Raw genomic sequence first — 13,929 nt, forward strand, 5'->3', positions numbered from 1 at the left:
TTAATGCTTGTCCCTTTAGGCTCTTAACTGAGGACTGATAGCAATTTAAGACATCCCATATTCTTCCACCTTACTTTGAAAAAAAAAATAATTTTGCTGGGGGCGGTGGCTCACGCCTGTAATCCCAGCACTTTGGGAGGCCAACGTGGGTGGATCACCTGAGGTCGGGAGTTCGAGACCAGACTGACCAACATGGAGAAACCCTGTCTCTACTGAAAATACAAAAAAATTAGCTGGACGTGGTGGTGCATGCCTGTAATCCCAACTATTGGGGAAAGCTGAGGCAGGAGAGTTACTTGAACCTGGGAGGCAGAGGTTGTGGTGAGCCGAGATTGCGCCATAGCACTCCAGCCTGGACAACAAAAGCGAAATTCCATCCCAAAAAAATAAAATAAAAAGTTTTACTTTTTCAGGGTATTTTCAAAATATCAAATCCAGGGCAGGGCACGGTGGCTCACACCTGTAATCCCAGCACTTTGGGAGGCTGAGGCGGGCAGATCACGAGGTCAAGAGATCGAAACCATCCTGGCCAAAATGATAAAACCCCATCCCTACTAAAAATACAAAAAATTAGCTGGGCGTGGTGGCAGGCGCCTATAGTCCCAGCTACTCGGGAGGCTGAGGCAGGAGAATCGCTTGAATCTGGAAGGCGGAGGCTGCAGTAAGCAGAGATCGCGCCATTGTACTCCAGCCTGGGCGACAGAGCCAGACTCCGTCTCAAAAAAAAAAAAAAAAAAAAAATCAAATCCAGAATAATCTTCACTTTTAATAAACTATGGGCCAGACCACTGAGGATAAACACATGAACATTATTCATGTCCTCAAAACTTTAAGGGAAAAAAGGGAAGGGTCATCTTGGAACAAAAATTTAGGAAAAGGGAGAGGAAGCAAATTTAAAATATATTAAATAATATTCTACATATACACACAAACACGGAGCGAAAAGTCAACAGGCCTTATTATTTGATGAGAATCAAGAATGTCTCCGAGGTATCTAGCTGTGAAGCCGAAACCCGATGCTCTCAACAGCTAACAGGACAAGCTAAGACTATCTATCCTATCACTAAAGGTTGACTCATTATCAACTTGGTAAATCTAACCTGAACACAAAGGTGGATTTCCAGAGATGTCTTGGGCCATCTGCACCTTTGCTACACAATGACTCTGGTTTAGCTGTCTACTTTCTGGTAGCTGCCTCCTTTTTCCACTTCATCTCTAACCTTCGCCTCTGCTTCTATTGCTCAATCACATTTGCCATTCACATTTCTTCCCTACTTCTACTTGTTATTCCCTTTTTCCTAAGCTGGTTGATAACATCTGCCCATGGTTTTATAACCTTTGCTACCCAGGAATCCAGCCTAATACATCATCCTTAGGCCTGTGAGTTTTCACCACTGCAAAGATACAAAGGTTCAAAAACAAAACTAACTCCTAATCTCCCAAATGTCTGGTTTATGCCTATTCCAGATGACGGTGTTATTTAATTCTGACCTAAGATTGAGGCACTGCTATATCTATTAACTTTAAAATAAGCACACATCAGGCCACGAGATTTTTTTCAATTGCCCTTTCTGAATAATTATAAAACAAAGGACAAGAAATGAGCTGAAAAAGAAAACAGACTTTTAGAAAAAGGAGAAAAAAACGGCAAAATAAGTTTCTATTAAAAAAATTTTTTTAGCTTTTTAAACAAAAGCGTAATACAAAGACTATGAATTCCTGAAATAGTAGTGAGAGAGAAATATTACATTGTTCAAAAGCTAGTTTACATACAGCTTATACTCATATCTCGAGATGTTTCCTGCAAAATATTTTCACATGAGCATGTTACTGAAATTTTTTTCCCTAAGACTGTTTTGCAAATTCTAAAAAAAAAAAAAAAAAAAAGCAGCTGAGTGTCTCCACTTTAGGAAACAAGTAATATATGCCACATATTTAATAAATGGCTGTTTGGGAAATATAAAGTATAAATAAACTTGTATTTTACTTATACTTTTATAAGTGAGTCAGTGGTCATGTTCAAGAAGACTAAGCTGAATGAAGAAGAGCGCTCTAAAGGGCTTGTGGCCCTTTGTAAATGTCTCCCTTAGCTGAGTCCCTTTCTTTCTCTAGGTGTTGTCAGGATATTAGAAAGTTAGGCAAATTTGGACATAACACTTGAACCAACTTAACAGTAACCATTTTATTTCTGTACTTCCTTCAAAGAGCAGTAAGATGTTCTCTCCTCTCTTCCATGTGCCTTGTCACCATATTTTTAGGGAGACATTCTATTCTAAAATCCAGCATCTAACAAATTTCACCCCTAAAATATTCATTCTTTTACAAAGAAAATCTGAGCACCTACTATCTGTAGGTCCTTGCACCATGAAATTAATGGCTTTGAACCTACCCTTACAAAGTGCATTGTCAAAACGGGAAGATGGTCATATTAAATACATTCAATACAAGGTCAGAAAATCCTGAGTGCTGCCCACATGACAGGAACAGATAAAGAGCTGTAGACATCAGAAGAACATTTCTCCTGCGCCAATCAGAAAGAAGGCTCCACAGCAAGGGGAAAACATTGCAGTCAGACCTTGAAAAATGGGTAGGAGTCAACATGTTTAGAGACTTGGAAGAAGGGCAAACGAGGCAGAAGAGTCACCGTACATAAAAGAGGAAACAGAAGTAACCCAGTGTGGCTGAAGTAACACGTAATATTTAAAGGAAATATAGGGAAGCAGGGTTATAAGACCAGATTGTTTTGAAAGTCAGATTGTAGAGGGTAGATTTTATATTCCAACAATAAAAAACACAAAGGCTATTAAAATACGATACAACCCAAAATTAGAGGCCAGGCGCGGTGGCTCACGCCTGTAATCCCAGCACTTTGGGAGACCAAGGCGGGTGCATCACAAGGTCAGGAGATCGAGACCATCCTGGCTAACACGGTGAAACCCCGTCTCTACTAAAAATACAAAAAATTAGCCGGGCATGGTGGCAGGCGCCTGTAGTCCCAGCTACTCGGGAGGCTGAGGCAGGAGAATGGCGTGAACCCGGTAGGCAGAGGTTGCAGTGAGCCGAGATGGTGCCACTGCACTCCAGCCTGGGTGACAGAGCAAGACTCTGTCTCGGGAAAAAAAAAAAAAAAAATACAACCCAAAATTTAGTGGACAATATACAAACCAAGAGAGACAAAAACTAAACGTACACACTAAGGACTCCTCTGAAATTCTCTTTACAACCCCTAACTGAAACCCTTAATAATTCTTTAAAAGGTAGAAATCTCTAAACTGAAACTACAGTAAAAAAAAATACTGGGTCAGGTGCAGTGGCTCACGCCTGTAATCCCAGCACTTTGGGAGGCCGAGGTGGGCGGATCATGAGGTCAGGAGATCGAGACCATCCTGGCTAACACAGTGAAACCCTGTCTCTACTAAAAATACAAAAAATTATCCAGGCGTGGCGGCGGGCGCCTGTAGTCCCAGCTACTTGGGAGGCTGAGGCAGGAGAATGGCGTGAAAAAAATATATATTTTTTTCCGAGATCAATTTTCTCTCCCTGCCTGCAAATATACAATTATCTCCCTTATTTATAAAAAACAAAAAGAAGACCTTTATGACCCTGCTGTCTGTACCAACCATTCTCTTTCCTCAAGTCTTTCACATCTCAAACAAATGGCCAGTACCCAGAAGATGCCTTTATTTCTTTATGACCTACCCCTGATTGGGCTTCCACCCCCACTACTCTGATCTTAGCAGTGCACTCTCAGTAATGACTTCCTTTACAAATTCAATAGCCTGCTTTTTCTTCATTCTCTCTGAATCCTTGTAGCTTTTTACACTCCTGCCCCTAAAAATTCTCTTATGCCTTTTCATCGCCACTGCACTTTCCTAATTATCCTACCTCTGATGGAGCCTCTTCTGATTCCTCTTCTTCCTGACATTTCTTAATTGTGAGTTTCCCAAGCCTCAATTTCTGGTCTTCCATTTTTTCCTCTCCATACTCTTACCTTTTGGTTAATTGTTCTTACCTCAAATCTTCAACTAGTTCCAGCCAGCCTAGCCATAGTCCCAGATGGCATTTCTAGAAACATTTGCACTAATCAGTGGCAAAGGTATTTGTTTTTCACAACTAATCTTTACTTCTAAAAGTAGTATTTTTGCAAGCGGTTATAAGAAATGAGTGTAGGGGGCCGGGTGCAGTGGGTCACGCCTGTAATCCCAGCACTTGGCGAGGCTGAGGCAGGCAGATGACCCTGAGGTCAGGAGTTCACAACCGGCCTGACCAACATGGAGAAACCCCGTCTCTACTAAAAATACAAAATTAGCTGGGCGTGGTGGCGCATGCCCGTTATCCCAGCTACTCGGGAAGCTGAGGCAGGAGAATCACTTGAACCCGGGAGGCAGAGGTTGCGGTGAGCCAAGATGGTGCCACTGCACTCCAGCCTGGGCAACAAGACCGAAACTCCATCTCAAAAACAAACAAACAAAAAAGAAATGAGTGTAAATTTCATAAGTTTATAAAGTCAGAGTATACAGTCAAAGGCTATCAGGCAAAGCTTGAAGATTTAGTCAAGTTTGGAAGGTCAAGCTAAACAAGGTCTAGACAAAACTTAAACAACAAAACAAAGTCAGGCACTGTACGTAGGTCACAATGACTGTATAACTAGCTTGAAGAAGAAATGAACAAAACTTTCTTTGCTACACCTGCCCTATCTAGGTCAAGAGTGAAGCCCAAGCCTGAGGCCTCAGATGAAGGGAAGTGGGTGTGCCTGTCAGGCATGGTGTGGGATAAGGAAACAGATAAACTACTGGCCAGGCGCAGTGGCTCATGCCTGTAATCCCAGCACTTTGGGAGGCCGAGGCGGGTGGATCACCTGAGGTCGGGAGTTCAAGACCAGCCTGAGCAATATGGAGAAACCCCGTCTCTACTAAAAATACAAAAAATTAGCTGGGTGCGGTGGCGCATGCCTGTAATACCAGCTACTAGTGGGGCTGAGGCAGGAGGATCCCTTGAACCCGGGAGGTGGAGGCTGCAGTGAGCTGAGATCGTGCCACCGCACTCCAGCCCGGGCAACAGAGTGAGAGTCCGTCTCAAACAAACAAACAAACAAACAAACAAACCTGCTAACAGCTCCTCCTCAGGCATTTTTAGAAGGGTAGAAAACCGTACCATGCATTCCAAGGAAAAGCAGGGAAAGATGAGGATCATCCACTCTACTGTTCTTTCTTCATTTAAGTAGATCATGAAGGAAACTGTCTTCAAAATCAAGATAAAACTAACATGAAAAAACAGGTCGGGCATGGTGGCTCACGCCTGTAATCCCAGCACTTTGGGAGGCAGAGGTGGGTGGATCACCTGAGATCAGGAGTTGGAGATCAGCCTGGCCAACTCGGTGAAACTCCGTCTCTACAAAAAATACAAAATTAGCCGCGTGTATTGGCGCGCAGCTATAAACCCAGCTACTTTGGAGGCTGAGGCAGGAGAATCGCTTGAACCCAGGAGGTAGAGGTTGCAGTGAGCCAAGATCGCGCCACTGTACTCCAGCCTGGGTGACAAGAGCGAAACTCCATCTCAAAAAAAAAAAAAAGAAACATAGCTTTATTCATCATCTTTCTTCTTGTGGAATGTAGCCATGGACTATGAAACTTAGAAATCAGTGACAATTTGGAGACTATTATTTCTTTTTATATAGCATTATGTGGCATCCTCAATATAAAGGACATCTCAAAGTTTAAGCGCTGGCTAAATTGTGAAACAAGAGAAGTCATTTCTATAGTGAGGAACTCTATCTGGAACCTATCTGGCTCTAACAAATAATGTACAGAACAAACAGCGTGCTTTCACGGAGCACTTTGCAATGCATGAAGCATTTTTATGTGCATTATCTCACTAAATCCTCACAACGACCCTGTGGAGTACAACAGGCATAACTATTGTACCAAATACAACACTAGGACTAAGACATGGCTAGGTCACAGTCAACTAGAGATGAAAACCACCCTCACGCTAAAGATTTCCTGATTCGAAGAAACCGTAACAGAATGAGGTGCTCATATCTCAAGATTTCAAATGAAAATTTAATGAGTGGCATAACACAACTGAATACTTTTTGAATAATCACTTATATTCGATACAATTCAAAATATGTAGAAACAACTAGGATACATCTCCACTTCAGAGCACTTAAAAAAAAAAATCCTTTGGTGGTTCTTCACTATCCATGCTGGAACTCCAAAAGAGAGATAACTAAGTTTTCCTACCAGGTTAGGGAATACCCTACAAACCAAGAAATGGGATTTTCCATAAGGTCTCTATTAGGCTAAGGCATACTCCTTAGTCTAATACCTTAAAGATACCTACAAAAACTTTTTCTTAGGAGCTCAACCTAGTCGTTCCACAACAATGAGGTGGAGCTGTTTCATTTCAAGCTGTGGCCCTAGTTTGACTTATTAATAAAATCTGAGGGGTAACAATTCATTGAGAGGATCATTGGGACTAACTAGATTTTTCCCTGTAAAACTGAATTTGATCATTTAGAGCCCCTCTGAGCACCTCAGACGTTAAAATTCCAGAAGACAAGTATTCTGCCTCTAACTCTTTAAGTAAGGATAAGAAAATACATGATAGAAAGTGAAAGTTGGCCAGGCATGGTGCCTCATGCCTGTAATCCCAACATTTTAGGAGGCTGAGGCAGGTGGATCACAAGGTCAGGAGTTTGAGACCAGCCTGACCAACATGGTGAAATCCTGTCTCTACTAAAGATACAGAAAACAAATTAGCCGGGCATGGTGGTGTGCACCTGTAATCCCAGATACTTGGGAGGCTGAGGCAAGAGAATTGCTTGAACCTGGGAGGTGGAGGTAGCAGTGAGCTGAGATCGCACCACTACACTCTAGACTGGGTGACAGGGTGAGACTCCGTTTCAAAAAAAAAAAAGAAAGTGAAAGTTGCAAACACTTCTTAATTTATACATACATCACATACAATCAGTATTTTAATTCCTAAGAAGGAACCATTAAACTCTAGAAACATCAAAAATAGATTATAGAATTTTAAAAATCAAATTATACTTATGGCGAACTGCCATGACAGCAGTCACACACAGTTTCAGATGCCAAAAACAGCCAACTAAATAAAACAGCACTTGGTTATCAACACTCTCTTTCTCTTTTTAGGACATCTCTAAATTTTCACGAGATGGTTTGATAAAACAGATATGAATGATGAGAACTAATTTATTAATGTTATTAATGTTGAAATAAAATACAATTATATAGAATGACACATCACAATCCAATGGCATTTGTCATCTCTAAAATAAATGATCACGTAGAAATCTTTTTGAGAAATGCATGATCATTAAGCATTTAAATTGATAGTACTACCTGATACTTACAGGCTGATATGGTACACTCTCCAGCTTTCTTTACCCCCGAAGGCTTTATAAAAAACCTTGAGGAAAATGATTTAAATATAAATTCATGGGGTTAACTTTGGCTAATTTTAGTTTAAATCACACATCACCCAAACAACATTATCATAGTACTTTAACTATAGGCAAAATATGTTTTTAAAATAATGAGCAAGGGCCGGGAGCGGTGGCTCACACCTGTAATCCAAGCACTTTGGGAGGCTGAGGCGGGTGGATCATGAGGTCAGGAGATCAAGACCATCCTAGCTAACACGGTGAAACCCCGTCTCTACTAAAATTACAAAAAATTAGCTGGGCGTGGTGGCGGGTGCCTGTAGTCCCAGCTACTTGGGAGGCTGAGGCAGGAGAATGGCGTGAACCCGGAAGGCGGAGGTTGCAGTGAGCCGAGATCGCACCACTGCACTCCAGCCTGGGCTACACAGCGAGACTCCGTCTCAAAAAATAATAATAATAATGAGCAAATCTTCTAAAGTCTATAATGCTAGACACAAATTTTCAACTACTTTCTCTCTGAAAAACTTCCATCAGCTACAATTGGATATGATCATACCAGATACAACAACACACAACAGTAATCCAAAAGTAGAACTGACTTCCACTAGATATGGAGACCTGTGTTATTTGCCATTCTCAGGTTTAATAATATTTGCAAATACCTGACATGTAATGACCATTATCACAACAATACATCACCTCAATATAATACAGCCCTGAGATTAGAAAGCCTTAAAATGAGTAGCACGGGCCAGGCGCAGTGGCTCATGCCTATAATACCAGCACTTTGGGAGGCCGAGGTGGGTGGATTGCTTGAAGTCAGGAGTTCGAGACCAACCTGGCCAATATGGCAAAACCTCATGTCTACAAAAAATTAGCTGGGCATGGTGGAGCCTGCCTGTAGTCCCATCTACTCAGGAGACTGAGACACGAGAATTGCTCGAGCCTGGGAAGCGGAGGTTGCAGTGAGTCGAGATCGTGCCACCACACTCCAGCCTGGACAGAGCAAGACTCTGTTTTTTTTTTTTTTTTTTAAAAAAAAAAAAAAAAAAAAAGATGGGTAGCACAGAGCAGCCACCTATTTATATCTATTAAATGCCAGGCACTGGAGAGAGTACCAAAAACAGAAAGGGTTTTATCCTTATGTAGCTTATTTTGTTTATCGTCTGTCATCCCTCAGAGAGACACACACAAGATCAAACCATGAAGAACCACACTAAGGAATCTGGGTTTTATTCTAAGTGTGGCCAAAACCCATACTTTTAAGCAGAGAACTGCCAAGATCTGACTTAGGTTGTTAGAAGGCCAAGAAGGTACCAACAGGTAGATAATGGAAGAAACCCAGCAAAGAGGCTAATACAGGAACTCAAGCAAAAGAGGGCTGGCTTACAGTCAACACTGTGGAAACATTAAGTGGACAGATTCAGTGTCAGAATTTGTGTCAGATAATCTTCCCTTTGAGCCCTTTACCATTTACATCCTTGGGCAAGTTACTTACATGCTTTGAGCCTCAATTTCCTTACTTAGCAATGCTCGTAAAACTCTATCACATAGAAAATACACAAGTTATTATGATAGTATTTTGGTAACAAAATTCACTTGAAGGAGTTCAAATAAATTGACTTCCTTTTCCCTCACACCAACATTAGTAATGTTGAGCAGGGGTTCAATACCAGTTATATATAAGTACCACATTTTGCTTCATCAAGAGACGAGTTCCCGTTTCTCACAGAACTTACACTAAAACTGCTCATAAATATACAGGAAGAAAGGTGTTTTTCTCAAATTAATAAAAGTCTAGTTAGCACATTCAATCTGTGTTTTCACATGCATTCTTTTACTTCCTCAGTGTATGTGAGAAAAAAGGCTATAAGGAGAATCTTGTAGTTAAATTGTGATAAAGATTCTGATGTTACTACCAATTATTTCAATTTATTCTGTTAATAGCTTTTATTTAGAACTTTAATAAAGGATGGCATTCCTCATTCTTGCAGCACTGGTACATCAGGAAACCAAGTTACAAAAAGCCCTCTTTGATAAGTACTTGGGTTATAAACACTTATTTTTCACTCAGTAGCATCCTCCTTATGTTTAATATTCTTTCAACAAAGGATGAACCATCCTGAAATTCAGTGTCATATTTACCACTTGGTATTTACTCAGTAGGGTCTATGTGTACTACAATGTGCTAGGCACTATGGGAGAACCAAGGTTAGTGTCATATGGTCCTTACTCTCAAGGAGTTTACAATATAGTTAGATTAGGCATTTACATGAGATAAGGAAGGAATTATGCAGACAGAACTGTAAGTATTAAAAATAAAAAGATCGCCGGGCACAGTGGCTCACACCTATAATCCCAGCACTTTGGGAGGCTGAGGCGGGAGGATCACCTGAGGTCAGGAGATCAAGACCATCCTGGCTAACATGGTGAAATCCCATCTCTACTAAAAATACAAAAAAATTAGCCGGGCATGGTGGTACACGCCTGTAATCCCAGCTACTCGGGAGGCTGAGGCACAAGAATCGCTTGAACCCAGGAGGCGGAGGTTGCTGTGAGCGGAGATCATGCCATTGCACTCTTGGGCGACAGAGCAAGACCCTGTCTCAAAAAAAAAAAAAAAAAAAAAAGATCATTTTCATATGGGGTGGTCAGAAAATGCTTCACAGCTAAGCAGAATTTGAGTTGAACCCTTGAGTACAGGATTTTGATAGAATTTGCTAGGAAGAGAGCAAGCACACGTGAACTTACATATAAAGGGCCTTGTTGAAAAAACTTTTTATTCTGAAAAATTTAAACATGTAAAAGTCAACAGAATAATAAACCTCCATGTACTCATCACCCAGCTCCAGTAATGATCAACTCATTGCCAATAATTTACATCTTATTATACGAAAATCCTAAGGGAGCCCATCTGCATATGCCTTTATATTCTTCACCGAGTCCATCCTCAGACAAATCTTTAGTGGCACAACAGTCTCCACAGTTTGGTTTTTCCAAAGGTCACATACAAACAAAGTGCAAATCTGTTTAAAAAAAAAAACAGCAGGACCAGGCACTGTTGCTCACGCCTATAATCCCAGCACTTCGGGAGGCCAAAGCAGGCAGATCACTTGGGCTGAGTTCAAGACCAGCACCGGCAACATGGCGAAACACAATACAAAAAATGCAATAATCAGCCGGGCGTGGTGGGGCACACCTGTAGTTCCAGCTACTCAGGAGGCTGAGGTGGGAGGATCGCTTAAGCCCTGGAGGCACTGCTGTGATCTTGCCACTGCACTCCAGCCTGCATGATAAAGTGAGACCCTGTCTCAAGGAAAAAAAAAAAAAAAAGAGAGATCAATTGCCGGGTGTGGTGGCTCACGCCTGTAATCCCAGCACTTTGGGAGGCCAATCCCAGGCAGACTGCTTGAGGTCAGGAGTTCAAGACCAGCCTGGGCAACATGGCAAAACCCTGTCTCTAGTAAAAATACAAAATAAATAAATAAATAAACTAGCAGACGTGGTTGTGCACGTCTGTGGTCCCAGCCACCTGCAGGGCTGAGGCAGGAGAATTGTCTGAACCTGGGAGGCAGACGCTGCAGTGAGCTTAGATCGGGCCACTGCATTCCAGCCTGGGCGAAAGAGTGAGACCCTGTCTCACAAAAAAAAAAAAAAAAAAAGTAATCAACTCTTGATTGTTTGCACAAGCCAAGGGAAGAGTGACAAAGATAACTGCAAAATGACAGATAATCCAAAAATCAGTCTACATAGACTACTGGAATACCTTTTCCATATTTATATTTCAATAAGAATGAGTAAAATGATGGGAGAATTCATGTCAAACAAAATAAAGCATCACAAGTGAAGTACTTTAAACATACCACTTGGCCTCCCAAGCCTGTTTCTTCCTCTGTGAAACAGGGAAATATCACCTACCTCAGAAACTTGTGAGAATTAAATGTGTATATTTAATGCCATGTGTATAGTTCCTTATTTTATTATATTATTAGTCAGTTGAATCAGGAACAACTATTAAATAGGAAGCTGTGGCCGGGCACGGTGGTTCATGCCTGCAATCCCAGCACTTTGGGAAGCCGAGGTGGGCAGATCACTGGGTCAGGAGTTTGAGACCAGCCTGGCCAACATGGTGAAACCCCATCTCTACTAAAAATACAAAAAAAAGCCGGGCATGGTGGCATGTGGCTGTAGTCCCAGCTACTCGGGAGGCTGAGGCATAAGAATTGCTTGCACCCGGGAAGCGGAGGCTGCAGTGAGCCGAGATGGCGCCACTGCACTGCAGCCTGGGTGACAGAGCGAGACTCCGTCCTAAAAAAAAAAAAAAAAAAAAAGGAAACTGCCCACTTTCCCCAGTCTCCCCTTATATGCCACCCTCTCTCCAGATAATGTAAAAATTTTCTTCATCTCAAAACCTGCCAAAGGTTGAGGGGCTAAGCTCCCCGATTTCAAGGAGTTTCTTTGCCTGTAAAGCAAACAGAGCTGACATTGAAGGAAGTATTTTAGTAGAATAAATTTGTAAATTGTCAAACTTCACAAAGTAATCCCTCCTTAATAGAGCCAACTAATGTCAGAGAGAGGTCGTGTGTGTCCAACCTACCTAGTAAAACATTTTCATTTTCCCCATTTCTTGACCACTGAGTTTTCTATTCTTTCAACCATCCAGGGCCTCTGTACAGCACAGTAAAAACAGCAAAGCAGCCATTAGGACTCTCAGGGCCACAGCCATTAGGGCCAGAGTATGAGAAGCTCAAGATGAGTAACCACAAGGCATGACAGAAACACCTTTACCTTCATTTCTTACTCTGTCCAGAAGGAAGCTGAAATTGTAATCTTGTGTTCCCTACGACCTGCTACTGAAAGGCAGCTGTCACGCAAAACTATGAAATTAGCTTAAACCTCTTTTTAGAGCACGTGTTCACCAAGATTTTAATTCTTCCTTTAGGGTTACTTTGTCTCTCAGTTACCTTCTTCTTGAGATTGCACATACATCAATGAAGTTCTCTTAAGAATTATCATCTTCAATCCCCAACTCCCTTTCTCTTATGTGAAGACTCAATGAGTTACTGACTTATAACCTCTAACACTATAAATAATCCACTCAAAGTCTTCTACCTAAAACCATTCCTTATTTTCTGATATTACCCATTTCTTAGATGTTTCTCTAGGATAATTATAATTAATGTAGTAAGATCTGTGGCACTTCACAGTTTGCCAAGTGCTTTCTAAATGTACTCACTTAATCCTTACAGGCTGTGGAAAAGGTAATTCCCTCTATTTTATAGGTAAGGAAAAAGGACCGAAGAACTCACTACCATGTCGTATCAACAAAGCAAGTTGGTGGCAAACCGGACCTCCGAAATAGGTCTTCCAACTCCACACGGCATGCTCGTCCCATTCTATTATGCTCTTTTCTAAGAAGGGAATGTCTACAGTTCTGTCCCAAACCACATTTGCTTCAAGAGTAAACCATCTTCAAACCATTTCTCTAAATTGCAATCAGGTCCCCCACTCCTACGATCATGCCATTTCTTGCTTCCTCACTCTCCAGCTATGACTTCCTTCTCACTACCCGATTTCCACTCTTCATGGATACTGCCATCATTCCTTCAACCCGTCCTGCAAATATCCCACCTCTACATGCTAAAGGGAGACCCCTCATGTTCCTTCCCCCAAACCCTGGCACTCCCTTCTCCGGATATGTAGGTTGTCACCCCATAAACTACACAGTAGCTTCTCGCTTCTCGGCCCTTAACGAGCTACTTACTAACTTTAAAAGCCCCACAGAAATGAACTTAACTTGCAGGTCCTCCACCTCCACACTTGGCCCTGGGCGCCATTCCTCTGAAAATAATAGTACCAACCCTTACAAAGACTCTGCCCATGCCCCACTGTCACCAACGAATTCCTTTTCCAGAAGGAAAAGGAAACAGGTTCTTCAGGCTCCTCTTCCAACCTCTTCACCAGTGACTCCCCTCCAAGGTTCGTGGACTCTACCCCCGCAGTTTTCCTCCCCTCACTCCCGGGCCTCTGCCCACCTCACCAACTCTCCCTGCGCTCCCTGTCCCAGAGCCAAGCGGCGGCCGCTCCACTCTCCCAACTTAGAAGTTCTGCCTCTATCACCTGTTCTCACTAGAGCTTCCTCTCAGCCCAGCGGCCCACCTTTGCCCTGGCCTGCCTCTCTCCACCCCTTCGAGTCCTCCTGCCCAGGAAACACCCCCACGAGTCAGTTCCGGGGTGCCTGTCGGATTCAACTTCCCATCCGTGGGATTCCCACCCCCGGGGTCATGCTCCCCTTCTCCATCACCTGCTCCGCCCATAGCCAGATGACATCCGCCGCTGCCTCCTCCTCCATTCCCCTTCTCGGACGCCAGGTCCCCGGCCACTCACCGCCCTCCGTGCGCGCCAGCCGCCCCCTCCGGTGGGGAAGAGGGGGGCGTGCACCCCAACCCGCGCCCCCCCCCCACGACACGCACCTGTTCTTCCTCCTCTTCCCCTCGGCGGGCCGCGCCGGCGCCCCG

At 42.8% G+C, this 13,929-nt stretch overlaps 1 protein-coding gene across 2 annotated transcripts in view, besides 1 other annotated feature; it reads right to left on the reverse strand.

Annotated features, from left to right (window-relative positions):
• The window catches only part of SPPL3 (signal peptide peptidase like 3), a 141,849-nt gene that overhangs the window by 127,360 nt on the left and 560 nt on the right, over nucleotides 1-13,929 (reverse strand). The window contains exon 1 of one of the 2 annotated variants that reach the window (XM_011537925.3): nucleotides 1-11,736. This exon is cut by the window's left edge and continues 23,351 nt beyond it. The exons of the other annotated variant lie outside the window; for it this stretch is intronic. The gene's annotated coding sequence lies outside the window, so the exon portion shown is untranslated. Of the gene's footprint in view, nucleotides 11,737-13,929 lie in introns of those variants that run through there. 2 annotated transcript variants of the gene reach the window in all.
• Nucleotides 13,839-13,888: a silencer, noted in NCBI's record as "silent region_4967". NCBI's record gives its function as "represses an Ori minimal core promoter by ATAC-STARR-seq in GM12878 lymphoblastoid cells {active_cell/tissue: GM12878}" and the evidence as "EXISTENCE:reporter gene assay evidence [ECO:0000049][PMID:35858748]".

Source organism: Homo sapiens, chromosome 12, assembly GCF_000001405.40.
Source record: "Homo sapiens chromosome 12, GRCh38.p14 Primary Assembly".
Taxonomy (NCBI): domain Eukaryota; kingdom Metazoa; phylum Chordata; class Mammalia; order Primates; family Hominidae; genus Homo; species Homo sapiens.